At 46.2% G+C, this 26,798-nt stretch overlaps 1 protein-coding gene across 7 annotated transcripts in view, besides 1 other annotated feature; it reads right to left on the minus strand.

Moving 5' to 3' along the window:
- The window catches only part of FBLN5 (fibulin 5), a 78,284-nt gene that overhangs the window by 33,889 nt on the left and 17,597 nt on the right, over nucleotides 1-26,798 (minus strand). The window lies entirely within an intron of this gene.
- Nucleotides 23,032-23,531: an enhancer, noted in NCBI's record as "H3K4me1 hESC enhancer chr14:92392675-92393174 (GRCh37/hg19 assembly coordinates)". NCBI's record gives its function as "activates a minimal SCP1, AML or CMV promoter by ChIP-STARR-seq in primed H9 embryonic stem cells {active_cell/tissue: H9 hESC(primed)}" and the evidence as "EXISTENCE:reporter gene assay evidence [ECO:0000049][PMID:30033119]".

A 26,798-nucleotide genomic window follows, 5' to 3' on the forward strand; every position in this document is an offset into this window, starting at 1 on the left:
GCAATGCCTTGGCCAGGGCATTGTGTGCTTCCAGAAGGTTCTCCTCCCTTGATCACTGGTGGGGTTTTGATTTCCTATGAACTCAATTCCCTGACTACCCATAAAGAGATAACAAAAAGTACAAAAGATCCCAGTGAGGAGAAAGGACAACATACTTCCTCCAACACAGAGCATCCCTTTTTTAACTGAGTACTCATGAACATAGTTTCTACATGCTGTGGATCCTGACTCCTGTAATCTCCCCATCTCCCCGAGGGCTCCTTCTTCTCATTCCCTCTGAGCCTATTCCTCACCCATCCTGACCTGTATCATAGTCTGTGAACTCCTTGCCCCTCCCACCTGCTCCCCACACCAGCGCTCCATTCCCAGAGCCCTGTCTCGGTTAACAGTGCCACCGTTTTCCAGTGGCCCAGGCTAGAGACCACAGTCATCCTTAAATCTTCCCTTCACGTCCCACTCTCATACAATTGCCATGGCCAGGCAGTTCTTCTGAAAATCTTGCAAATTTCCTACTTTCCTTACATCCCCTACCCCAAAGACTCCAGGTCCCCACTGTCTTTTCTCTAAATGATTGTAATAACCTCATCAGTTGTCTGGCAGCTCCAATCCCTCCCTGGTGAAAGTACACTAAATATTAAACCTCCAGAACCACCTCAAAACACAAAAATGGCAAGTTTACATTTCCTCCCTAGAACCCTCAAGGCATGCGCTTTATACTTTGGCAACACTGAGAGTTAAGCCTACTTTCCTACTCACATATGGGCAAAGCACATCTAGTTTTATAGCAGTTCACTTCCTACAATATACTTAGCCACGTGCATCGGAACCTCCAGTTTCTTGAAAGCAGGAAAAGGGCCTTATTCACAATCATAGCTTAAGCACCCCACACAGTGCCTGGCATACTAGAGAGTATTAAAGCGAATTATACTGGAAATGAAGATACTTGACTCTAAGACTCTTCCGAAAGCAAGAGGGAAATTCAGTTAAGCCACCAGACACATCGGAAGAGACAAGTCCACCATCTACCTTATTGTGGCCCGTCTCTCATTCCCAGAGGATGAAGAATATCTAGTGGACATTGGCTGACAATTCCAAATCCCACAGAGCCTCAGGCTGAGGCTCACAGTGCCTGGAGGCCTAGTCCCACCCTAGCAATGGCCCAGGGCTGATTTGAAAGCAGCCTCAACTTCCAGAAGTTCTAAAATACTATGCGTGTCTTAGTCCTGTGGGGCTGCTCTGACAAGAACGCTATAGACTATGTGGCTTAAACACGAGGCTTTTATTTCTCCCAGTTCTCGAGGCTGGAAGTCCAGGGTCAGGTAAGCAGCACAGTCAGGTTCTGGTGGGAGCCCTCACAGGGCGGAGAGAAAGCTCAGGGTTCTTCATCCCCTTATCAGGGCACCAGTCCCAACGTGGGGGCTCCACCCCTGTGACCTCATCCAAACGCAGTCACCTCCCAAAGGACCCACCTTGTAATAACGTCACATTGTGGATAATGGGCTTCAACATATGGATTTGGGGGGATACAAATGTTCAGTCCATAGCAAAGTGCTTGGCCTGATGGAGTAAGTGATGTTTCCTCTTTCCTCCTGGGACAGCTTGACATCCCAGATGGGAAAGAACTTTATTCTCAACAATCATAGGAGGGAGGAGCATCATAGAAGGGAAAAGATACACCTTCCTGGCCTGAAAATTGACATCAACAGGACCTCTCAGGGGATACCCAGGAAATCTATTTTTCAAGCTGGCCGTGAGAATACCCAGGTGTGCAAATTCAGCCCTTGGACTCAATCAGTCCATCAGCAGCAGCAAACATTCCCAGCTGGGTCACTCTCAGAGCATGATCATGAAATACGCACGTGCACCCTTCCCATGCCTGCAGTGAGAAGACCCTGCCACCACTTCCGATCCCATCACAACTCACCAGGGTGATCTGGTACACATCAGTGACCTTCTGCATGGCAGCCTCCTTATGTCTAAAATGGAACTCCTATCACCTGCCCCCCTAGAGCTTGCAGGCAAGAGAGGAGGGCAGATGTGGCACACAAACAAGCATGTGAGGGCGCTGCAGAGGGCTGGGAACACACAACAGGGTGTGTCATGAAGCTGCTAACAGGTGAGAACAGGTCTAGACACTGACGATGACCTAGGGGAAGGGGCCCCTCACATACACACATTTCTGGAGCCCAAAACCTCCTAGGACAAGGTGCAGAAGTGCCAGCTGGCTCTTTCACAATAACAAGTTACGAGAAACAGGCCGGTAGGTAACTAAGAATATGAGCTTTTTTTTTTTTTTTTTTAGATGGAGCCTAACTCTGTCGCCAGGCTGGAGTGCAGTGGTGTGATCTCGGCTCACTGCAACCTCCACCTCCTGGGTTCAAGCGATTCTCCTGCCTCAGCCTCCCGAGTAGCTGGAATTACAGGCACATGCCGCCATGCCCAGCTAATTTTTGTATTTTTAGTAGAGATGGGGTTTCACCATGTTGGCCAGGATGGTCTCGATCTTCTGATCTTGTGATCTGCCCGCCTCGACCTCCCAAAGTGCTAGGATTACAGGTGTGAGCCACCACACCTGGCCGAGTTGTTTGTTTGTTTGTTTGTTTTTTCACACAAAGTCTCGCTTTGTCACCCAGACTGGAGTGCAGTGGTGCCATCTTGGCTCACTGCAACCTCTGCCTCCCGGGTCAAGCGATTCTTGTGCCTCAGCCTCCCGAATGGATGGGATTACAGGCATGTGCCACCACACCCAGCTAATTTTTGTATTTTCAGTAGAGACAGGGTTTTGCCATGTTGACCAGGCTGGTCTCGAACTCCCAACCTCAGGTGATCTGCCTGCCTCAGCCTCCCAAAGTGCTGGGATTATAGGCATGACCATGCCCGACTGAGAATATGAACTTTTTGGTTACAGACCAACCCACTCTGCCAATCCCCTGCCCTCTCCCCACGCTTCTACCCCAGTAGGGTCCAAAGCTTCCTGCTCCTCATCTCTAGGAGACGACCCCAGAGTAGCAGAAAATAGTGTGGAGGCTACGACCCAACAGGAACTGGAAGCCCAGGAAACGAGGGGAAGAGGCTAAAGCCTGCTGGGACCATAGAGGTGAGGGAGAGGGAGCAAGAGAGAAAGAGCCCTGAAACATACCACCTCCCAGTTGAGGGGTGGCCACATGCCCTGGGAGTCTAGAAGTGCGGGTCACACCCACAAACAGTGCAGGGCTGAAACAGCCACACCCTGCTCCCCATCACCCTTTGGACTTGGTAAGAGATACAATGACATGAACCTAAAATAAATATTTGGATTAAACACTTTTCAGGATTGCATGTTTACCTGGCTGAGGAATGGGGCTGCCCTTTCCCAGCCACCCCTCTATGGGCACCAGCAGCTTCCTGGATGTCTCCAGTGAGGAAGGCAGGGAGGCGAGGGAGCTACATGTGGGGCCAACCAGCTGGCTGACCTGCCAGACCACCCTTGCCCTCCCTCCCACCATAAAGGCACAGTGCCCGAGTCCCACTGCCCCCAATGCCTCTGCTCAGGAGTCATTTATGCTATACCAGTGCGGCAACACTGGTATCGGTACTAGGGATTCAAAGATAAATGACACACAGGCCCTGTCTGTTTACAGTCTAGTTGAAAACAGACAAGGGACGAGGTAATCCCAACTCAGGATGGTGAATGTCATGCTGGAGAGAAGAATGGGGGCACTCCCAGGTGAAACAGCCTTCCTGGAGTAGAAGACACCACATGGATCTAGAAGGATCCTGCAGCAGAGACTATCATCTGCCAATATCTATTCTCCCAACCAAAGACTGCATTTTTAAGCCTCTCTCACAGTGAAGTGTGGCTATGTGACTAAGTTCTGGCCAGTGAGATATAAGTAAATGTAATATGTGCAATGTCCGGGTCATGCCTTTAAACAGAATTGGTGCATAGTCCCCTTGTCCCTTCTCTCCTCCTTCTAGTTGGGATGCAGATGTGATGGTAAGAGCCAGAGCAGCCATTTTGGAACCAGAGCTGAAAACTACACATTGAGCCTCCCTACCAGCCCGAAACCACCTGCCTCTGGACTGCAGCATGAGAGAGAAATAAAATTCTCTCCTATCTAAACCAGCGTTTTCAAGGTCTCTTTGTTACAGTGGCTTAGTGAGTACCCTAATACAAATGAGTAGGAGTTCGCCAAAAGAAGAAGGTAGGGAACAGCACGTGCAAGAGCACAGAGACATGAGAGGCACTGTACAGTCAGAGAGCCGGGGGGAGCTTCACTGGAGCAGTTAAAACACGTAGGAGTGCACAGTGAGAGCTGGGCTGGGGGTGGAGGATGAGATGGGAGCCCATCTATAAAGGCATCGTGTGCCAAGCAAAGGAAGCAAAAGAGAACGAGGAGGATAATGGAGGCGGAATGGATCGTAAAGAGGAAAATAAAAGAAAAGAGATGGATGAAGAAGGAAAAGTAGAGAGAAAAGAAGGAGTAAAAACACAGCCATCCTCTCCTGCATGTGGGAACTGGTACTGGTTCTCAGTCTTAGGAAATGTTTTCTCCAGTGAGATGCCCCCCACACACTAGTCCTAGCCCCTTGTAGTTCAGCAAAAAAACTGGCAATAAGTTTTATGCTTTAATAATGTCTCTGAGTTAGCTTCAATCAGAACAATTTGACTCTCATATTAAAAAAAAACCAAAAAACCCAAATGCCATAATAAAGTAAGCTCCCCAAAATATATTCACTGACACTAAAGGGTTGCGTCAAGAGTCTGCTCATAAGTGCCTGATCAATTGGGTTCTTAATAAATGCTTTTCCAATCAGTGTTAGCAGTAGTGGAGGAAATTCTAATAAAAAACAACTGACGCAATGTACTTCACACTTCTCTGCACTCCTCTGCCACAGACTTCCCAGAAGTTGCTGTCTATTGTCACTGCTCTGCCTGCACACCTCCCGTTCTTGACTCCAATCAGGCTTCCTTCTCTTTTATTCCATTAAAGCCTCTCTCATCAAAGTCACCAATGGCCTCCTCAATGACAAATCCAACAATCCTTTCTCATTCCCAGTCTTCATCCTTCACCCCTTCTTAGCAGCATTTGGCACAGTGAACCTCTCTCATCTTCTACAGAGACTTTCTTCATTAGGCTTCTATCACCCTCTCTTGGTTTGGGGACTTCTCAAAGGTTATCCTGGTAGTCAGCATGAATGAGTCAGGATACGAACTCAAGGCCGCCTATTTGAGCCCAGTCTTTTCTTGACCCTCACACCCTGGCTGACCCAGAGCCCTGAAAGGAGGAGACAAGTCAATAAATATTTGCTGAACTAAAAAAATGCTGCTGGGGGCAGAATTTTACATCTGGAAAGAATTTAGAAATCACCTAGTCCAGTGTTTCGCCAAATGTGCCTTGACTGTACATTTGAATCACCTGGGAAGTTCTAAAACATAGGAGCCCATCCCAACCCAGTTAAATCAGAACCCCTGGGAGGAACCCAGAAATTGATTTGAATGTACAGCCAAATTGAGAACTACTGACCTAGCCCAATGGTGTACATAAGAGTGTCTTTGGAGGCTTGTTCTAAAAATATAGAGCTCTTGATTCAGGAGGTCTAGAAAGAGTCCTGGGAATCAGTACTTTTTTTTTTAATTAATTAATTATTTTTTTTGAGATGGAGTCTCACTCGTCGCTCAGGCTGGAGTGAAGTGGCGCAATCTCGGCTCACCGCAAGCTTCACCTCCCGGGTTCACGCCATTCTCCTGCCTCAGCCTCCCGAGTAGCTGGGACTACAGGTGCCCACCACCACGCCCGGCTAATTTTTTGTATTTTTAGTAGAGATGGGGTTTCACCGTGTTAGCCAGGATGGTCTCAATCTCCTGACCTCGTGATCCGCCTGCCTCGGCCTCCCAAAGTGCTGGGATTACAGGTGTGAGCCACCGCGCCCGGCCAGGAATCAGTACTTTTACCAACATCAAGCTGATGCTAGCACAAGTGTTCACACCCACAGAAACACTAGCCTAGCCATAAGACTGTGAGTGATGCGAGGGCAGGAAACACACTTTATCTTTGTAGCCCCTACTCCAAGCACAGTGCCTAATACAGAATATTAATTTAAAACCCAGTCACTCACCTCATAACTGTTAGGATGACTACTGCTATGGTTTGAATGTGTCCCTCAAAGTTCATGTACTGAAATTCAGTTGCCACTGTGACAGTATTAAAAGTGTGGGAAATGCAACTAAAATTCTTAGGTCGATTACAGCTGGAGCTTTTGGGAGGTAAATAAAATTAGATAAAGTCATCAGGATGGGGCCCCCATGATGGAATTGGTGGCTTTCTAAGAAGACAAAGACAGACCCGAGCTGATATTCACACTCTTGCTTTCTGGCCACATGATGCCTTCCACCGTGTTATGACACAGCCAGAAGGCCCACCAGATGCTGGCACCATGCATTAGGACCTCTCAGCCTCCAGAACCATGAGCTAAATAGGCCTCTATTCTTTATAAATTACCTGGTCTGTGGTGTTCAGTTATAGCAACACCAAAGGGACTAAGACAGCTGATATGATTTAAAACAACAATTAAAAACAAAAAACAACAACAAAAAATAGAAAAAAACGTGTTGGTGAGGACGTGGAGAAACTGAACACTTGTGGGAATGTAAAATTGGGTAGCCACTATGGAAAACTGTATGGTGGTTCTCCAAAAATTAAATACAAAATTACCACATGATCCAGCAATATTACTTCTGGATATACGTACAAAATAATTGTAAGCAGGATCTTGAAGTGATACCTATACACCTATGTTCATAGCAGCATTATTCACAATAGCCAGGAGGTGGAAGCAACCCAAATGTCTATTAGCCGTTGAATGAATACCCAAAATGTGGTACATTCACATGAGGGAATATTGTTCAGCCTTAAAAAGGAAGGAAACTCTAGCACGTGCTACAACATGAATGAAGCTTGGGGACAGTATGCTAAGTGAAACACGCCACTCACAAAAAGACAAATACTGTATGAGTCCACTTATATGATATATTTAAAGAGGTCAAATTCATAGAAACAGAAAGTAGAATGGTGGTTATCACGGGCTAGAGAGAAGGGGAAAGAGAGAAAGTTGCTTAATAGATACGGAGTTTTTGTTTGGCAAGATGAAAAAGTTCTGCGGCACAACAATGTAAATACACTTCACACTACCGCGCTGTGCACTTGAAAACGGTCAAGATAATACATTTCTTGTTACGCATTTTTACTACAATAAAAAAGTGAATATCTGTAAATCAAAACATATTTCTTCATTGATTGCATTCTAAGTTCTATAAACTGTTCCCACTGAAAGAAATAATCGATCTGTGATCAAAAACAAAACCCCATAAAGAAAAGTCCAGCAGCCATCCTGTGCTCCTGAGAAACTTAACTCCACCCCAACAGCCCACATCTCTTCTGTAACCCCATCTCCACAGAGGAATTAAAATTCAAGCATCACGGAATCAGGGTAGAGTGCTGGGGAGAAAGGGATGGCGGGGAGAAAGATGAAGGTAGAGAAGGGGAGGCAGGGAAGGAAAGAAGCAGGAACAAAGAGGTCTGGACTATGACGTGGGCATCTTGAGCCTCTAGTAACTCGATTCAAAGGACAACACAGGCAAGTGGGAACACCAGCTTTGGGGTCGGATCTGGTTCAAATTCTGCTGCCCTCATTTTTTTAGCTTTGTAATTTTTTTTTTTTTAATACAGAGTCTCACTCTGTCACCCAGGCTGGAGTGCAGCGGCACGATCTCAGCTCACTGCAACCTCCACCTCCTGGGTTCAAGTGATTCTCCCGCCTCAGCTTCCCAAGTGGCTGAGAATACAGGTGCATGCCACCATGCCCAGCTAATTTTTGTATTTTTAGTAGAGACGGGCTTTTCACCAGGTTGGCCAGGCTGGTCACAAACTCCAGACCTCCAGTGATCCGCCCACCTCAGCCTCCCAAAGTGCTGGGATTACAGGCGTGAGCCACCACGCCTGGCCAGCTTTGTAATTTTAAACAAGTTTTTTGGTTGGTTGTTTACTTGCCCCTAAAAACCTTCGTTTCCTCGTTTGTGAAAGGAGTTGATAATGATGGTAGTTAATTCATGGGGTTTTGTGAGAATCACACATAACTAAAGCTCTTTACACAGTACCAGGCACAGAATTGGCCCTCAGTCAAGACTGGCAATAGCTTCATCTCAAGAAGTAGGAGGAGGAAGAAGAGGAAGAGAAGGGAGTGTGAGGGCGGGGAGCCCACCTCCTAAAAGAAAAAATAAAGAAGGAACTGAAAGTCAGGTTCTAGTCCGGAACCTTCCACTAGCTCCGCAGTGGCCTTCCAGCAAGTCTTTCTCAGCTCGTTTGAGAAAATAAGGCCTCTGAGGTCTCTTCTATCTGGAAAGGTTGGTGAATCCAAATGCTCTGGGGCCCAGTTGAGCTCCCTGCCCTCACTACTCACTGCCTAAACCTCTTACCTCTGCAGGGCTAAGGAGGCCCTCTGGAGGATGCAAAAGGAAAAGACGGAAAAAAAAAAAAAACGGCTGGGAGATGCCCACGCTGTGCCTCGGCACACAAAATGAGGGCATGACCTTGTAGACCTATTAGCAAGTAGGAAGAAAACTTGCTAAGAGGGTAACCTGAAAGCGGAAGACCTCCTCATCTGATGTTACTTTAAAAAGCATTTAGGAGCACAATTATTTATTTTCCAGTTTGTCTCATGTCATATGAATATTACACTGTGCATCATTGTTACATTGTATACATATTAGTTTAATGCACAAACATTGTTATAAATGTTGTTGTACTATCTAAATGTTATAATGTATAAACACTGCCATATTTCCTGAGATTTGCTCTAAAATAAGGAAGTTCTAACATTTCCCTTTGGACCTCTTTCAAGACTTTTTAAGTAGGCATCTTCAAAAGGCCCTTCGGGGCTGGGTATGGTGACTCATGCCTGTAATCCCAACACTTTGGAAGGTTAAGGTGTGAGGATCACGTGAGGCCAGGAGTTAGAGACCAGCCTGAGCAACATAGCGAGACCCTGTCTCTACAAAAAATAAAAAATAGAAAAATTAGCTGGGCAGGACGTGGTGGCCCACACCTGTAATCCTAGCATTTATGGGAGACCGAGGTGGGCAGATCACTTGAGGTCAGGAGTTCAAGACCAGCCTGGCCAACGTGGTGAAACCCTGTATCTACTAAAAATACAAAAATTAGCCAGGCGTGGTGGCACACACCTGTAATCTCAGCTACTTGGGAGGCTGAGGCAGGAGAATCAATTGAACCCAGGAGGCGGAGGTTGCAGTGAGTCGAGATTGTGCCACTGCACTCCAGCCTGGGTGACAGAGCTAGACGATATCTCAAAGAAAAGAAAAAAATTAGCTGGGCATAGTGGTGTGCACCCGTGGTCCCAGCTACTCGGGAGGCTAAGGTTGGAGGATCGCTTGAGCCCGGGAAATCGAGGCTGCCATGAGCCATGTTTGTACCATTGCACTCCAGCCTGGGTGACAGAGTGAGACTCTGACTCAAAAAAAAAAAAAAAAAGCAGTTCTTAGGGGCTCAGGAAAAGACTGAGACACTTTTCTTCTTTAATATGCTAAAGAGGTTGTTGATCCAAAAAGCAGAAAATGTACTCATCAAAATAAGAGCTGTTCACTCATCCATCCATTCATCCATTCATTCATTTAACCAATATGTATTAACCAATGTGTATTAACTCAATATGTACTCCATATTGAGTAGTGCAGAATGGATTCGTATTTTTCATTATTTGTCTTCAAACGCCCTTTTACAAGTATAATTCAATCACAAGTTTTTATCTACCTCTATTCCCTTAGGGAAGTCTAAGGTGTTACTACCCTGTCATTATAAGTGATAAAAATGAGGTGGAGATGGTTCGTGTACAGAACAAAAAATACACATCACGAACCCAACCAGCCCCTCCACTAACTAGCTTTATGTCCATTTCCCCATTTTTAAAATGGGAATATCATGCCTGAATATTTTGGAGGATTCAATGAGATAAGAGATTCCACTAGAGGAAATGCCACCTAAAATGTATTAATAGAGCCTATTACTATTAAAGAAGAAATGCATTTCTCTGGGTCATATAAGAAATAAGAGGGAGAACCGTTACCTAAATCTATTATGTATGAGACTGGGTGTGATGGTCTCACACTGCCAGTTTTACTATCCTCTCACTCACCCACTCAGTGCCTGTTTTCCAGGCCAAAGGAGGAAAGGAGTGAGCAGCATAGAAGACAATTTTGAGGGGCCATTATATTTCCAGTGCCCATTTGTGGAGTTATTTTGGAATATCAAGTAGCTGGAAGGATTGGACAATTTGAGCAGAGATAATTCTTCTAACGCCTGGTCAATAGATGTTCACTCAACTATCATTCAATTATATCAGCAAATACTTACTAAATGACATCTACATTCTTGGCATTGTGCTAGGCATTGTGGATACCAAAGTGAATAAATCATGAAGACCCTATGTCCTGATGACAACGCAATTAAGTTATAAATCAATAACAAAAAGATAATTTAAATCCCCATAAATGTGTAACATTCAGAAACTCACCACTAAATAAATCATGGATAACAAGAAGTGATTACAGGGAAAATTAAAAATTCTTACAACTTAATAGCAATAAATACCATACATCCAAACTTATAGGTCACACCAAAAAATATGTAGTCTTAAGTGCTGACTTAATGAAAGAAGAAAGGCTTACAGTTAATGAGCTAAGCAACCAGCTTAAGAAATTAGAAAAGGGGCCATGCACAGTTGCTCATATCTGTAATCCTAGCACTTTGGGAGGCCAAGGCAGGCAGATCACTTGAGCTCAAGAGTTCGAGACCAGCCTGAGAAACATGGCGAGGCCCTGCCTCTACATAAAATACAAATATTAGCTGGGCGCAGTAGCTCATGCCTGTAATCCCAGCACTTTGGGAGGCCGAGGCAGGCAGATCACGAGGTCAGGAGATCGAGACCATCCTGGCTAACACAGTGAAACCCTGTCTCTACAAAAATACAAAAAAATTTAGCCGAGCGTGGTGGCAGGCGCCTGTAGTCCCAGCTACTCAGGAGGCTGAGGCAGGAGAATGGCATGAACCCAGGAGGCGGAGCTTGCAGTGAGCCGAGATCATGCCACTGCACTCCAGCCTGGGCGACAGAGTGAGACTCTGTCTCAAAAAAAAAAAAAAAAAAAAAAAACAACAAATATTAGCTGGGCAGTATAGTACATACCTGTGGTCCCAGATACTTGAGGCCCAGGAGATCAAAGCTGCAGTGAACCATGATCATGCCACTGCATACAGCCTAGGCAACAGAATGAGACTCTCGAAAAAATAAAAAAAGAAAAAAATTTAAACAGAAACAAATCCAAAACATAGAAAGAAAAGAATAAAAAACAGGAATTGATGAAATAAAAGCAAAAGGAAAAGAAAGAGATCGGGGAGAGCAACAAAGCAAAATATTTCTTTTTGAAAACAGCAAACTGATATGACTCTGGCAATATCTGTGTGGTTTTTTTTTTTGTTTTGTTTTGTTTTGTTTTGTTTTTTGTTTTTTAATTAAAGAATTAACACAAGGCTGGGTGCAGTGACTCACACCTGTAATCCCAGCACTTTGGGAGGCTGAGGCAGGCAGATCATCTGAGGTCAGGAGTTTAAGACCAGCCTGACCAACATGGTGAAACCCCATCTCTACTAAAAATTCAAAAATTAGCTGGGTGTGGTGGCGAGCACCTGTAATCCCAGCTACTTAGGAGGCTGAGGCAGGAGAATCACTTGAACCCAGGGAGTGGAGGTTGCAGTGAGCCAAGATCGCACCACTGCACTCCAGCCTGGGCAACAGAGCAAGTTTCTGTCTAAAAAAATAAAAAATAATAAAAAAAAAAGAGTTAGCACAATATTGGGAATGAAAATACAACAGAACTACAAAGTCAGCAAAGATCAAATAGATAACACAAAGAATGGTAAGAAAAAGCTTATGCAAATGAAGCTAAAAACTTATTAAGTAGACAAGTTCTTAGAAAAAGGTAACTATGTAAAACTGACTTAAGAAGAAACAGAAAGTGCAAACAGTCCCCTAACTTTAAGAAATTATATCGTAGCGGCCAAGCACGGTGGCTCACGCCTGTAATCCCAGCACTTTGGGAGGCCAAGGCGGGTGGATCACGAGGTCAGGAGATCGAGACTATCCTGGCTAATATGGTGAAACCCCGTCTCTATTAAAAATACAAAAAAATTAGCCCAGGCGTGGTGGTGGGCACCTGTAGTCCCAGCTACTCAGGAGGCTGAGGCAGGAGAATGGCATGAACCCGGGAGGCGGAGGTTGCAGTGAGCCGATATCACGCCACTGCACTCCAGCCTGGGCGACAGAGCAAGACTCCATCTCAAAAAAAAAAAAAAAAAAAAAAAAAGAAATCATATCAGTAGCTAAAAATCTTCCCACTCACACACCCAAAAATACCAAATCTCAATGATCTTATAGGCAAATTCAAATAAACTTTCCATGAATTGAATTTGAATAAAATTTCCATGAATGACCTAAGGTTAGACCATTCTAACTTTCCAGAGAATAGAAAAGGAACAATATCTCACTCTATCAAGCTTATATGTGGACACCAAAACTAGTAAGAGTAATATTAAAAAAGAAATGTGGCAGGTCATTCTACTTTATAGACATTAATGACAAAAATCCTAAATAAAATGTTAGCCAAACAAATCCAGCAGTATATTGTAAACAAATCATACTATAACATGACCAAAGATAATGATGGTTACATATGGTAAAAATCTACCATTCTTTGCCTTTTATTTTTTGTTGTTCCTAAGGGCAGGATAACAAAGAACAGCTCAAAAGAATTCAGGTGGCCAGGCACGGTGGCTCACGCCTGTAATCACAGCACTTTGGGAGGCCGAGGTAGGTGGATCACTTGAGGCCAGGAGTTTGAGACCAGCCTGGCCAACATGGTGAAACCCCATCTCTACAAAAAGAATACAAAAATTAGCCAGGCCTGGTGGCCGGTGCCTGTAATCCCAGCTACTCAGGAGGCTGAGACAGAGAATCGCTTGAACGTGGGAGGCGGAGGTTGCCGTGAGAGGAGATCGCACCACTGCACTCCTGCCTGGGTGACAGAGCGAGATTCTGTCTCAAAATCAAACAAAAAAGAATTCAGGTGAGGGACTAGGCATTTCTTCAGATGTTCTGTAAAGAGGATTCATGGTATTATCTACCTGATAACTTTCAATGAAAGGGAGAGTTAGTTTTCTTTGGGGGCAGTATCAGTACTTGCTTACCTGAGGACAGGTGAGCAGCTCAGATGGCAGCTCTAGGCCCCTACTTTTGTTACTAGTGACCATCCCCCAATGTCATGGAAGGGTGTGTGTATGACTGAGATAGTGCATCCTTTAGTGAGTGAGTGCATCCTTTGTTATCTGTCACTGTGGGCTCAGAACAAACTTTGGGTCCTTCTGTTTCTTCTCTTTCCATGCAAAAGTTAGGATTCCAGGTACAGCTCTTGCCCTCCCACCATCCAAACTTCCTTCATCCGGTAACAGCACCCTAATTTTCCTTTAAGGAACTGCCTTTCTGCACTTTTGGTCCATGCACGGCAGGTAGCTTTGGACCCACTGCTGGTTCCGGGGTGGGCTTGTGATGTAGGCTTGCTAAATCAAAGCCCATGGGTTGCTAGTCATTGTGACGAACTCAGGGATGGGCTTGTGACCCATGCTGGCTACTAGAGCCCAACTATGACCTTTTGCCAGAGCTCGAGATTAAGGCAATCTCTCTGGGTTGTTAAACTAGAAAGACATAAGCCTGGAGCTGCCAGCGGCCTCCACTTGAGAGATCCTGCCCTGAGAATGAAGAAGCCTATGTTTTAGAGATAGTCATTGGAGAGAGAGAAAAAAATGAAGGCCATATGACACTACTTAAGCCCTTGCCCTCAGGCATGTCTGAAGCTAGTTCTACTTCTCAGCTTTCAGTTATGAAAAAACAAATTAGGCTGGGTGTGGTGGCTCACGCCTGTAATCCCAGCACTTTGGGAGGCCGAGGTGGGTGGATCACAAGGTCAGGAATTCAAGACCAGCCTGACCAATATAGTGAAACATGTCTCCACTAAAAATACACACATTAGCTGGGCATGGTGGCGTGCAACTGTAGTCCCAGCTACTCGGGAGGCTGAGACAGGAGAATTGCTTAAATGCGGGAGGTAGAGGTTGCAGTGAGCCAAGATCAAGCCACTGCGCTCCAGCCTGGGTGACAGAGTGAGACTCCATCTCAAAAAAAAAAAAAAAAAAAAAAAAAGAAAGAAAGAAAAAACAAAATACGTTTAGGTAGTTTATTGTTGTTTTGCTTAAGCTACTTGGAGCTGGGTTTCTGTCAGTTGCAATCAAAAAGTCCTGATGACTAATACACTGAATTTAATCAAATTTCCCTATAGCTTTATGGAGACACAGAGTCCTAATGTTGGCATTTGCTTCATCAAAAGCCACAGCACCAAGAGTAACAAGTGAATGTATTTCACTTTAAAAGGTAAATGAGAAATTTGCTCTATGTTCCTAGAAATCTCTGCAGAGCACGCCAGTCTAAAGTTGCCCTTCTTAACCTTTTTCATGTTGAGGCACACATAGAACATTACACAAGTGTGTAAGGTACAATGGAATGGGCAAATTGGCCCAAGGACTAAGCCTCCCTCTGAAGCCCCTGCCCCCCAACCCAAGAGCTGAAGAGATCAATATCCAGGCACCTGTACCACCCATGAACCAGTTGGGAGTGTCACATCTAGAATAAGGTAAAGGTGGGAGGTCAGGGAAGCTGTTTCAAGGGACAGTCCTCAAATGAGTCCTCTCATAACAAGATGGGTGACCTGCCTCATCTGATGGTACATTCCTCATCCTCCACATACCATTTGGGAACAAAGTGCTTCTAAGTGATTCGAAGCTTTTCAGAATCAGCCTGCCAAAACCCAGCTGTTTCTGCATAGTCAGGCTTTCTGGAGTGTGTGGCTCTGGATTTGTGGGAAGGACCCCAGCTCTGCTGAAACTGCTCTTGCTCTCTACAGCAGACCCAGATTTTCAGCCAAGAAACAAGAGGGCAGAAGGTCAGGGGACTGGGGGCGGAAGGAGGAGTATCCATAGAGCTGAGCCAAAAGAATGCCATTATTTAAGATATGATTGAAGAGTCTCTCCAAGACTGGCCAAAAGAGGAATTCGATTTGAACTCTGGGGGCTTAAGAATGCTGAGCACCCAGTTTGTAGATTCTTCTGTTGACCTACTGGGGCCAAACAAGGATGGAAGGATGGAAAGAGCATCTTTTCTTTATAAATCCAGTAGCTTGACTTTGTCTACGAGTGCACAAAATCTAAGGAAAGGCATGTTGCTGTTGCTGTTTTCTAACAACCTCATCTTCCTGTTTATCCAGCACTTATTACCCAACTTTCTTGGACAGCTGACCTATCAACAAGCCAGCAAACATTATTGACCCTGTTCTATCTGCAAGACAGGAGATAGGGGATATGAAAGAGACATAAAGATAACAGGACACGAAGCTTTAATGAGTAAGTGGCACAAGCACATTCCTAAGTCTAAGGTAGATGGTGAGAAATGTCCCAACAGAGGCACAAGCACAGTGTTTTGGGAACTCAGAGAAGAGGAGGTTCCAATGGGCTTGGGATGAGATCAGTAAAGATCTAAGAAGGCCTCTGGGAAGAAATCACAGATTAAGGTCATTAAGGATAAGAAAAAAGAATGGCAGCCGGGCACTGTGGCTCATGCGTGTAATCCCAGCACTTTGGGAGGCCAAGATGGGTGGATCACTTGAGCCCAGGAGTTCGAGGTCAGCCAGGCCAACATGGTGAAACCCTGCCTCTAGTAAAAATACAAAAATTAGCTGGGCATGGTGGCATGCACCTGTAATCCCAGCTACTTGGGTGGCTGAGGCAGGAAAATGATGTGAACTTGGGAGGTAGAGGTTGCAGTCAGCCGAGATCACACCACTGAACTCTAACCTGGGTGACAGAGCAAGACTCTGTCTCAAAAAAAAGAAAAAAAAAAAGAAAAGAAAAGAAAAGAAAAGAAAAGAAAAGAAAGAAAGAAAGGAAGGAAGGAAGGAAGGAAGGAAGGAAGGAAGGAAGGAAGGATTACCAGGGGTCTCTGACCTCAAAAGGGTCCCCACTGGAGGAAGAGGGCTGTGTCCTGTGTTATAGGGTGAATCGTGTCCCTCCAAAATTCATATATTCAAGTCCTAACCCCCAGTACCTCAGAATGTGACTGCAATTGGGGACAGGGTCTTCAAAGAGGTAATTCAGTTAAAATGAGCCCGTTATAGCGGGCCCTACTCCAAAATGTCTAGTGTCCTCCTAAGAAGAGGAAACTGAGACACAAACACCCACAGAGGAAAGACAAAGTCAAGTAAAGGAAAGGAAAGACACAGGGCCAGCTATAAGCCAATTAGAAAGACAAGGAACAGATCCTTCCCTTGCAGCCCTCAAAAGGAGCCAACTCTGCCAACATTGTGATCCCAGACTTCTGGCCAGCAGAACGAGGAGACAATACATTTCTGTTGTTTAAGCTGCCCAGTCTGTGGTACTCTGTTATGGCCACCTTAGCAAACTAGTACATTGTGTGGGCTTTCCCCCTGGCCCTGAGCACCTCCCAAGCTTCCAGAGGGAAGTAGACTGCCTTGTCCTTCTCCCTCCCCTGTCTGGTTTCAGAGTTCTTGTTGACTAGAACTTATTAGCGTGCGTGTGGCTCTTGGGGCTTGACTTGGAGTCCCACACACTCTTCCCCACGGTCAGTAGGCTGTGCTGGAATGCAATCCTGGCAAGCCTTCCCTCCTCCTCAGAGTCAAAAGCCAAGTTGCACTATCTCCTGTTGTCTTAATGACTCTATTTTATTAACCCATTTGTGGCTTGTCTGCCTGCTAATGCACCAGGGTCTCCTGCCCCATATTTTCTGTCTTTGGAAAGAGATGATGCTAGCAGTCAAATTCATTCAATGTACAACTATTTATTGAGCTTGAATATGGAAAGAATAGGGCTGTATGATTTACAAAGAGGACTGGTCACTTACTATCCCCAGTGTCTCGAAATGAATGAATTATCTAAACGAATCTTAAAGATCATCCTTCAACCACGGAGAAGTGACTTGCTCAAGGTCATTCAGCTGCTGAATCTGATCTCTTTGCACAACTCATGATTTTTGGAGATTAAGAAACCAGAGACTTTGGGCTTTATTCAGCGCTGCCAATGGCCTGCCAGGTGATCTTGGACAAATCCTGTCATATCACATACCTATCCTCCAGATTTCTCAACCAAACTATAAATGTCCCTCCTTGGTAAAGACTTCCTCAACCCCCTTGGGCAGAATCAGCTGTTCCCACGATTCTCAGTCCATAGCAGCCTTGTGGTGGTTTATGCAGGAGTTGCCAACCCTCCTCCTGGCAAGCCTCCAACCCACATACTCCATTGCCTGTGGCCCCCAATGGTAGCACGAAGTATGGACCAGGTCAGCCCAAGCCTACCCTCAGCACTCCCTTGGCCAAAGCAATATCTTCAGGGGATCTATCATTAGAACTGGTCTTCAACTCCTCTTTGTCAGGGAAGATAGATAACATTTCATGGTTAAAACCCAACTCCAATCTGGCAAAATTTCAACTTTGTTCTTCTGAAGCCAAAGGCTAGTAGGCCTGAGACACAGAGGGTTCTGAAAGTACCACATTGGGAATTCTACGAGGTGTTCTATGCAAGCCAGTCACGACATTTTAATTCTCTTACCCAGATGTCCTGCGGCTTCGTTGGAATTCTGAACCCAGAAAGTAAAATCCGTCACCTGGGATTTTATGAAAATTATCCATGTAATCTTTACCCAAAATTAATAATGACCCTTAGAAAAGGCTCAAGCATGAAAAAGTTAAAGAAAAAGGTAGTAAAGCAGAGAAGAGCTGAGACCAAGTAGCTCCCAGAGTTTCTGCCAATGCTTGTCCTTCTTCCCTCTCAGGTGCAAGACGATTGATTATGAAGCAAGAGGTTCCAGCTGAGCCTTCAGCCAATAGCCAGCTAACAGGTACTTAGCAAGCACCAACTATGGGCCAGGCAGTGGGGATGCAGCAGGTTACAAGGCAACGTTTCTTCCCCTCTTGAAGTTTACAGCTAAGGGATGGGAAAATCAACAAACAAATACATAAAAAGCCACCAATCAGTGGCTCTCAAAGTGCAGCCCCCGGGCCAGCAGCGTCAGCATCACTCAGAAGAAAAGACCCCACCCCAGACCTACTGAGTCAGAAACTCGGCAGCAATCTGTGTTTGAAGGCCTCCGGTGGATTTAATGCACGCTGAAGACTGTGCTGGAAAATGATAAGGCTGTGATTGGGAGTAACTGCGGTGTAATTTCAGACAAGGCAGCCTGAGTAGGACTCTCTAAGGGGTGCCATCTGAACTGAGCTGAAGCCAGAGAGGAGAATGAGCCCGCAATGTGAAGAGCCAGGAGAGAGTTCCAAATAGAAGGAAGAGAAAGTGTGAAGGCCCTGAGGTCCAGAAGGGCCTGGTATATTTGGGGTAGAGAAAGGAGCTGGCATGGTGCCTATGACCAACCAGGGCACGTCGTGGGATGGCCTAAAAGGGCCTAAAGCTGGCGGGCCCACATGCTGGTCAGCCTAAATCACAAGCAAACTCTGGGATGTGGGACAGTCATGGAGCCCTTCCACATATTCTCTAAAATGAAGGGGCAGACAGGCGCGGTGGCCTGTAGTCCCAGCACTTTGGGAGGCCAAGGCGGGCGGATCACCTGAGGTCAGGAATTTGAACACGGCCAACATGGCAAAACCCCATTTCTACTAAAAATACAAAAATTAGCTGGGCCTGGTGGCAGGTGCCTGTAATCCCAGTTACTCAGGAGGCTGAGGCATGAGAATCGCTTGAACCCAGGAGGCGGAAATTGCAGTGAGCCGAGATCGCACCACTGCACTCCAGCCTGGGTGACAGAGCAAGACTCTGTCTCAAAAATAATAATAATAATAAAGTAAATAAATAAATAAATAAATAAATAAATAAATAAATAAATAAAATGAAGGGAAGAACATTCCTAGGCCTGCCTTCCTCCCTGGGCTATTTTGAGAATTCCATGAGCTGGTGGACACGAAAGCATTTGGAAAAGCGAGAAGCAGTGTTCCAGTGGGAATTACTACAATGAAAGGACTCATGGCAGTAACCGCAGGACCCAGCCTCCATGGGGAGAAGTGGAGACCACAACAGACCACAGGCCAGTGCCACCTGGCCCCCAGCCACTGTCTGCTCTCTGGAGAGAAATGAGATTGAGACAATCCTGGAAAAAGGATCTGTTGAGGAGGTCTGAGGTCTGAGGTGGGATTTTCCAGAGACGTCTGATGGTGGGATCGCTTACATCTCTACCTTGTTGGTCAATCTGGGAGGATTCTTGGCTTCCTAAGGAGCTTGTGTTTTGCTCCAGCTGCTTGCAAACTTCCCCCAGGAATTATAAAGGCAGTGTCAGATTTCTCACAGGACCAGGCCAGGCCCTATCATCACAGTGAGAGCCAATTTCATCCATCCACTGATGCCCCTTTTTCAGGGGTCTCGGCAGAGGGCTCATCCCTGTTTTAAGCCTAAAGGAGACTTTGACCAGGACCCTGAGAACATGGAGGTGATGTAATTATGAGGTGACCCAGTAATTAGCCCCTACAGCTTAGACTACATGCAAAATCAATGCCTCAAATGAGAAGATACCATCTCCGAAAGCTGCCTGTCTCCAGAAGCCACCCTTCACCTGGTTGTCATAAGCATCTTTGCATCCTGAGTGGTCAAGGCTGGAGGAAGCCTCACAGATAATGGCCCAGCCCCTCTCATGCAGATGTGAACTGAAGCCCCAGAAAGAGAAGGAACTGGAGCACAACCACCCAATGAGCTTGTGGCAGTGCTAAGACTAGGCTAAGCAGAAATCTCCAAATAGGCTTGTAAACATTTCACTCCCCTGCTCAAAAACCAGTGTTCACAGAATAAAGCCCAAGTCAACTGCATGGAATTCAAGGCCCCACAATCTGGTGGGGAATCTTGAGTGCCAACCTTCTAAGCCTCATCTCTTATTCTGTGCCTGCCCTGCCCACAACATGTGTCCATGCTGCAGCCACACTGGGTGTCATAAGTGTGCAGGTGACCGGTTGACTCATGACCAAGACTGCTCAACATGCAGTGAACTTTCTTGTCTCCATGTCTCTGCCCATGCTGTTCCCTAACCCTGACTGCCCTTCCTCGTCTCTGACATGGAAATCCTATTCAATCCTGCAAAGACTTGCTAAAGGCCACCATATGCATTCACATTCCTCGTGGGCACTCCCATAGCACCTGGGACATATTGCTCTCATCAGTCACATCTGACACTGGCTCATGAAGAGAATCTGATGAGTTATGTACACCCCCCTCCAAAACCCCCACTCACACCCACTCAGCAGAGAGATCCTGAGGGCAGGGACAGCATCTCGTTCATCCTTAGACCCTCCTAGCCCTTGGCAGTGTCTGACACAGAAAAGTGATCAGTCAATATTGTTTAATCAAATGGACGCACAGATATGCAACCCTGTCTTTAGGAAAGCTTCTGTGACCACTCCAGCCAGAGCCAACAAAGTGTCCCATACCTACGTTCGTTGCCATCCCATTTCACTGGGCTACATAAAATTATTTGGGTTTCATATTTCCTGCCAAACCACCCGACTCCCGCCAAGAGGCTGTGAACTCGCCAGGGGGTGATGATATCTGATAAATTATGCCTAGTGTTCCATTATTGGAACGCTAAGCATGTGGGAGTTATTTATATTCTCCTGTTCAAGGTCATCACCAAGGTCTGATTGCAAAAATTTTAAAAATTGCAACATCAGGCATAAATGGGTTAATCTTTACATGCACAGCTCAGACCTCAACACATAAATGGTAAATGGATAAATGAATTCCATCAGTGGTCATAAGTTAACCTATGTAGAAACTGTACCTAATATATAATCCATTTCTCTTTCTCATTTGAATCCCACATATATAATTCACTCATGTAGCTTTTCTGCTTATTTAACAAATATTTATCAGGCACTAGAAAAATACTATGGTGAGACCGCGTGTGGTGGCTCACGCCTGTAATCCCAACACTTTGGGAGGCAGAGGTGGGCGGATTGCCTGAGCTCAGGAGTTTGAGACCAGCCTGGCCAACGTGGTGAAACCCCGTCTCTTCTAAAATACAAAAAAATAGCTGGTAGCACACACCTGTAGTCCCAGCTACTCGGGAGGCTGAGGCACGAGGATTGCTTGAACCCAGGAGATGGGGGTTGCAGTGAGCCAAGATAGCACCACTGCACAAGAGAAAAAGAAAAAGAAAAAAAAAATACAATGGCGAATAAGACAGAAAGCTCTGTTGGGTGGAGAGATGTTAAATAAATAATCACAAATGTGTATTTATCACAGCTATGGAGTGTGAGCTGGAGAATAAGTACAGGGTGCTGTGGTCACCCCTGAGTCCACTCTGAGCTCTCAGTTGCCCCAGGAGTCCTGTCCCATCATACTTCATCCCTGTCCCCACGGAGAAGGCCACCCCTCACTCAGCTCAGATGCAGAAAACAGATGACCCATCTTTTTCCCTAATGGAATGAAGCAGAGTCAGGGTTTTTTGTGTCTTTGCATTGTTTCATATAATCTCCCTCAAATTCTTAAACCCCTCCTCCCATGGAAACTGTTGAAGATGCCAATTTCATACTGATTCCGGATGCAAAGTCTGTTCTGTCTGACCTCACTGATTCCTGGGGGACGTGTTAAGACCTGTGAAATATGTAGAGCTCATAAATCAACTCTGGCTAGATTTCCACAAATGTTTTAGTTTGAAAGAAAGTCAGACAGCATTGACAAGACCCCAAGTATTCTGCTTCCCCGGCCCCAACATACCCGCCGGCCCCAGAGTCTGTGGATGCTGGCTGCCTGCAGCAGGGCCCAGCACTGGCTGTCCCCATCTCCCCTCTGGCCCGGCTCCGACAAGCTGGAGGGGAACAGGCGGTCAGTCCTTGACATCTAGTCTGTTGTCTGAGGCCCTCTGGAGGGAAGGAATCCTGTGAATGTCCTTTCCCTGCCAGCCCCCAAGGAGATGGCCCAGAGACCCTTCCCCAAGCATGCTCCTCTGTTTCCAAGACAAACAGGAGCCTCGGGATGGTTGCTGGGCTCCAGGGGGTGCCAGTGACATGTAATACAATTGAGTGGTGCCCTCTGGAGTTGTGCAAGGAGCTGGCGCTGGCTGGTGGTGAAGCCCTGGGAGCCAGTCTCCCCCATGGCAGGAAAACAAAGCTGTGGCTTCAAGGTACGAAGGGCACAGCCTCCCACAGCGTTTCCCCTTAAGGAAGGGGACAGTGGACGTGGGTTTCTTTGCAAGTTAATCTCACTGGAAGGTTCTTCACAGGCATCTTTTTCCATTAGCCCGTCAGTGCTTCTGTACATTAGATTGCATCTAACACTCACTGAGCTGCCGTGGTACCCAGCGTCTTGCTGGGTGCAGGACAGCCACAGCGACCATGGCCCCAGCCCACAAGGCGCTTAAGGAACAAGGAGACTCTTGGTCACCTTAGTCCCTGCTTGACACCCAGTACAGTGGGAGGAGTCAGCAGAGGGTGTGCTGGAGGTGAGTGCTGGGAGACTGAGTGAGGAAGGCAGTGGCGCTCCCCTCTGGCTAGCCTGGGTTCATCGGTGCCCGCACTCTTCCTTCCGCCATTCATTCATTCAAAAATCACTCCACGAGAGCCTCACTCTGCCAGATGCTGTGGATAAACAGTGGAGGCTGGCACTGTGCCTTTGTCTCAGGAATCCCCCTGCCAGGCACCCCACCCACTTCCCTGAACCCCCGACAGCCATGCCCTCCATTATGAAAGACAAGAGCCTGTGGGCACCTGCCTGCCCTCGGTGCCCACACCTGGGGCTGCTGGGAAGCCCTGGCCTCTGTGCCTCCATGCTCAAGGCCCAGGGCTGGCTGCTGGAGGGAGGCTGTCTGGCTCATGGGTCTCTCTGATGACGGGTCAGCCCAGTACCACCAGCACTTCCCCAGTCCCAGCCTGCCAGGCCTGGGCACCGCGTGGCCTGTGTGGTACATGTGTCCACAGAGGATGGCAGCCCAACGGATAGGAGAACGAAGGTACCCAGGTAGCTCTTCAGCACTCCCAGAGTCTAAGAGGGCCCCAGAGAAAGGCTCGAAAGCTGCCTCTGTGGCCTGTGTGAGGTCAGAGTGGAGACAGAGGGGGTGAAGTGTCAAGACATGATCACGAATTGAAAGAGGTCCCTCTTCTTCTCCCTCCCCAACTAATGCTCCTTCCACATACTTCCCCACTTGAGATAAGCAGCCAACAAGCACCTGCCACGTGTCTGACCCTATGACTGGCAGGGACTGCTAAGATGTAAAGCAAACAGAGTTGCTGCTCCTGTGAGATAAAGAGCTTGCAGGTACGTGGAGTGGATCGGGGGGAGTGGACGGGGGGCAGTGGACGGGTGGGAGTGACAACGCGATTGCTTAGAGGGTGAAGACCTGACTATCCTGCCTTCACTAAGCCTCAAAACATTCCCGGAAGATAAGCATCATTGTCCCATCTTGTAGCTGGGACACACTCAAAGGATTTAAAGGCTTTGTAACGGTGCAGTGATAGGATTCGAACCCACGTCTGTGTGAATCTAAGCCCATGCTCGTTCCACTGCATCACACTCTCTACCACTAGTGCCTGGCATCATTGAATTGCTCACTTCAGATCCTTTGAGAAATGAAGATCTCCATTTTTCCCCACAAAAGAAATAGCTTGGGCCTATGGGATGATATTTACATGAAGCTGTTGTCGTCAACATCAAACAGGATTCCTCATTTATTGTTTCAATCCGTTTTATCCCACTCAGGCACACACTCTCCATAAAATGAATGCCTTGCATTCATATGGTATTTTTACTTCTTTCATTTAACATCCCTGATAACATAAACATCTCCCAAATCCCCCAAATCCCTCTGTTTCTTGCATTACAGCAGGGTTGGGGGTGTGAGCTGCAGATGCTATGCAGACACCATCCACATAAACAGATAAGAGCCGCGGAGAACATCCACAGAACATCTGCGAATTTCTGTACAGAACCTATGTGAGTCATTCTGTTCTAGAGTCCTCCAGTGGTGGATTCAACCCACTTACATCAGAAGGATTTTGAAAAGAAATCTAAAACTAGCCTTGACAACAAAAGAGATGGTGTGATCACCTTGCTCCATCTCAACACATTTAGAATGACTGCACTTCTCTAAGGAGTATCATAGCATGCACCTCCTACTAACTTAAAAGACATGTGCTAAACAGTCAGCTCAGCTCTGGCCCTGGCATTCGAGGCTATTTGCAACCTGGCAGGTAACTTCAACCTCCTGCCCTCCAGGCAGTGCTCTCTGGAGACTTGGTAATGCAGCCACTTTTGCCAGACCAGAGCTGAATGGTCCTGCCATTAAAAAGTCCACACTTCATCCCTCCTCTGCAACACCACTCGCTTTTCACACACAACTGGCTAATTCCAGAGTGGAGTAGAAATAAAAGTAACATGACTAGACCAAGGAACATAAGATGAGAGCCAAGAAAAACTTGTAGGTCATTGAAAAGACTGCCACGCTAGACACTGGGGAAGTGACCTACTACACAAAGGCACCAAGGGCTGGGCATGGCCCACCAGTGGGACCCCACCCAGAACATGAGGCCAGTCAGTGCACTGAACCTCACCAGACCAGTGCCAATAACCAAAGCCATCTACCACTGAGGGTGGAAGGGACTTCCTCACAAGTGGAGACTTGGTAGGGTCCCGGCAGGTGTCAGCAGGCATGTGTGCTGTTAAAACACACGCAACAGAGAAGAGCCACGTCACCTAGGCAATCCAGGTGGGAAAGGGCTAACGCAAAAAATTATGTTTCCTAAAGATTGGGAAGATTTAGAATAGTAGAACATTCTTGAGTTGCAGGAAACCTGAGAAATCATCAGAACCAGGGAATTTAAACTTTTCTGTGTGTGCCTTGAACCTGTTTGGCAGACTGCTAAAGCCCATGTACTCCCTTCTCAGAATAATGCCCTAAATTGCATAAAATAAAACTCAGAGGATTACGAAAGAAAACAATTGTATTGAAATGCAGCTATCAAAATATTTAAAAAACGAATGTATGGCTGGGCATGACAGCTCACACCTGTAATCCCAGCACTTTGGGAGGCCAAGGAAGGAGGATCGCTTGAGCCCAGGAGTTAGAGACTAGCCTGGACAACATAGCAAGACCCTGTCTCTACAAAAGATACAAAAGTTAGCTGGGCATGGTGGCATGTACTGGTAGTCCCAGCTACTCGGGAGGCTGAGATGGGAGGGTCACTTATGCCTGGGAGGTTGAGGATGCAGTGAGCAGAGATCATGCCACTGTAATCCATCCAGCTTGGATAACAGAGCAAGACCCTGTCTCAGGCCGGGCGCAGTGGCTCACACCTGTAATCCCAGCACTTTGGGAGGCACAGGTGGGCAGATCATGAGATCAGGAGATCGAGACCATCCTGGCTAACACTGTGAAACCCCATCTCTACTAAAAATACAAAAAATTAGCCGGGTGCAGTGGCAGGCGCCTGTAGTCCCAGCTACTCGGGAGGCTGAGGCAGGAGAATGGCATGAACGTGGGAGGCAGAGTTTGCAGTGAGCCAAGATCGTGCCACTGTACTCCAGCCTGGGCGATAGAGTGAGACTCCATCTCAAAAAAAAAGACCCTGTCTCAAAACACACACACACACACACACACACACACACACACCCCACACACACACATGATACAGTGATATAGATACTTGTTTATCAGTGCATTAAAAAAAAATTAGGCAGATCTAGTATCTTCTATGATTTTGAAGGTTTCAAAACATTTCAAAATACTTCCAAGTATTTCAAAATAACTGCCACAGCTGTAATGTGATATGTAAATATCTGATTCTCTTGTCAATACCATCCCAGGTACTGCTAATAGTCCTGTGGCCTGTTGCCTACAATGGACAGTAATGCTAAATCTCAATTCAAAGTTAGTGGGGAAAAATATGACGATAGATCCCTTGATTTATATCCACAGACCCCAGATTACGACCCTTAGTATAATACCATCCTTTCTTTTCACAGATAATAAAACTTAGGCCAGAGAGGCCAAGTGGCTTTCTAAATGTCACACAGCTAATAAGTAGCAAATCTGGGATCAAAATCCAGTTCTTACTAATGTCTCATCTCATCCCTTTACCACTACACCATGCTACCTCAATCTAGGCCTTAAAATCATTTCTTTCCAGTTTGTGTTTTGTTTTTAAATAAGTAACACATTCTTCTAACAAATTCAAACAATATACAAATTGCATGAAAAAAATAAACCTTCTACCTTTCTTTAAACACAGTTCTGTCGAAAAATAGACAGATGAACTAGGGCCTTGCTAATTAAAGGGTGTTCCCTGGACCAGCAGCGTGGCATCACCTGGGGGCTTATAAGAAAATGCAGACCCTTGGGGCCCACCCCAGACCTCTTGAGTCAGAACTGCATTTTCCCCAGGTGATTCATGGGCACAGCTACTTTTGGGAACAGCTGTCCTGGACAACTTCCTGGAGTCCTGTCTGTGTTTGTGTCTCCCTGGAAGCACAAGTTAACCCCAACTCCTACTGCTGAAAATTGGCAAGAATTCAACTTTCAACTCCCTAAACGACACACACTATTAAATCTAATTCCCAGAAGAAAGAATAAAAAATAATGGAATAACAGGACTA

Source organism: Homo sapiens, chromosome 14 (assembly GCF_000001405.40).
Source record: "Homo sapiens chromosome 14, GRCh38.p14 Primary Assembly".
Classification (NCBI taxonomy): Eukaryota; Metazoa; Chordata; class Mammalia; order Primates; family Hominidae; genus Homo; species Homo sapiens.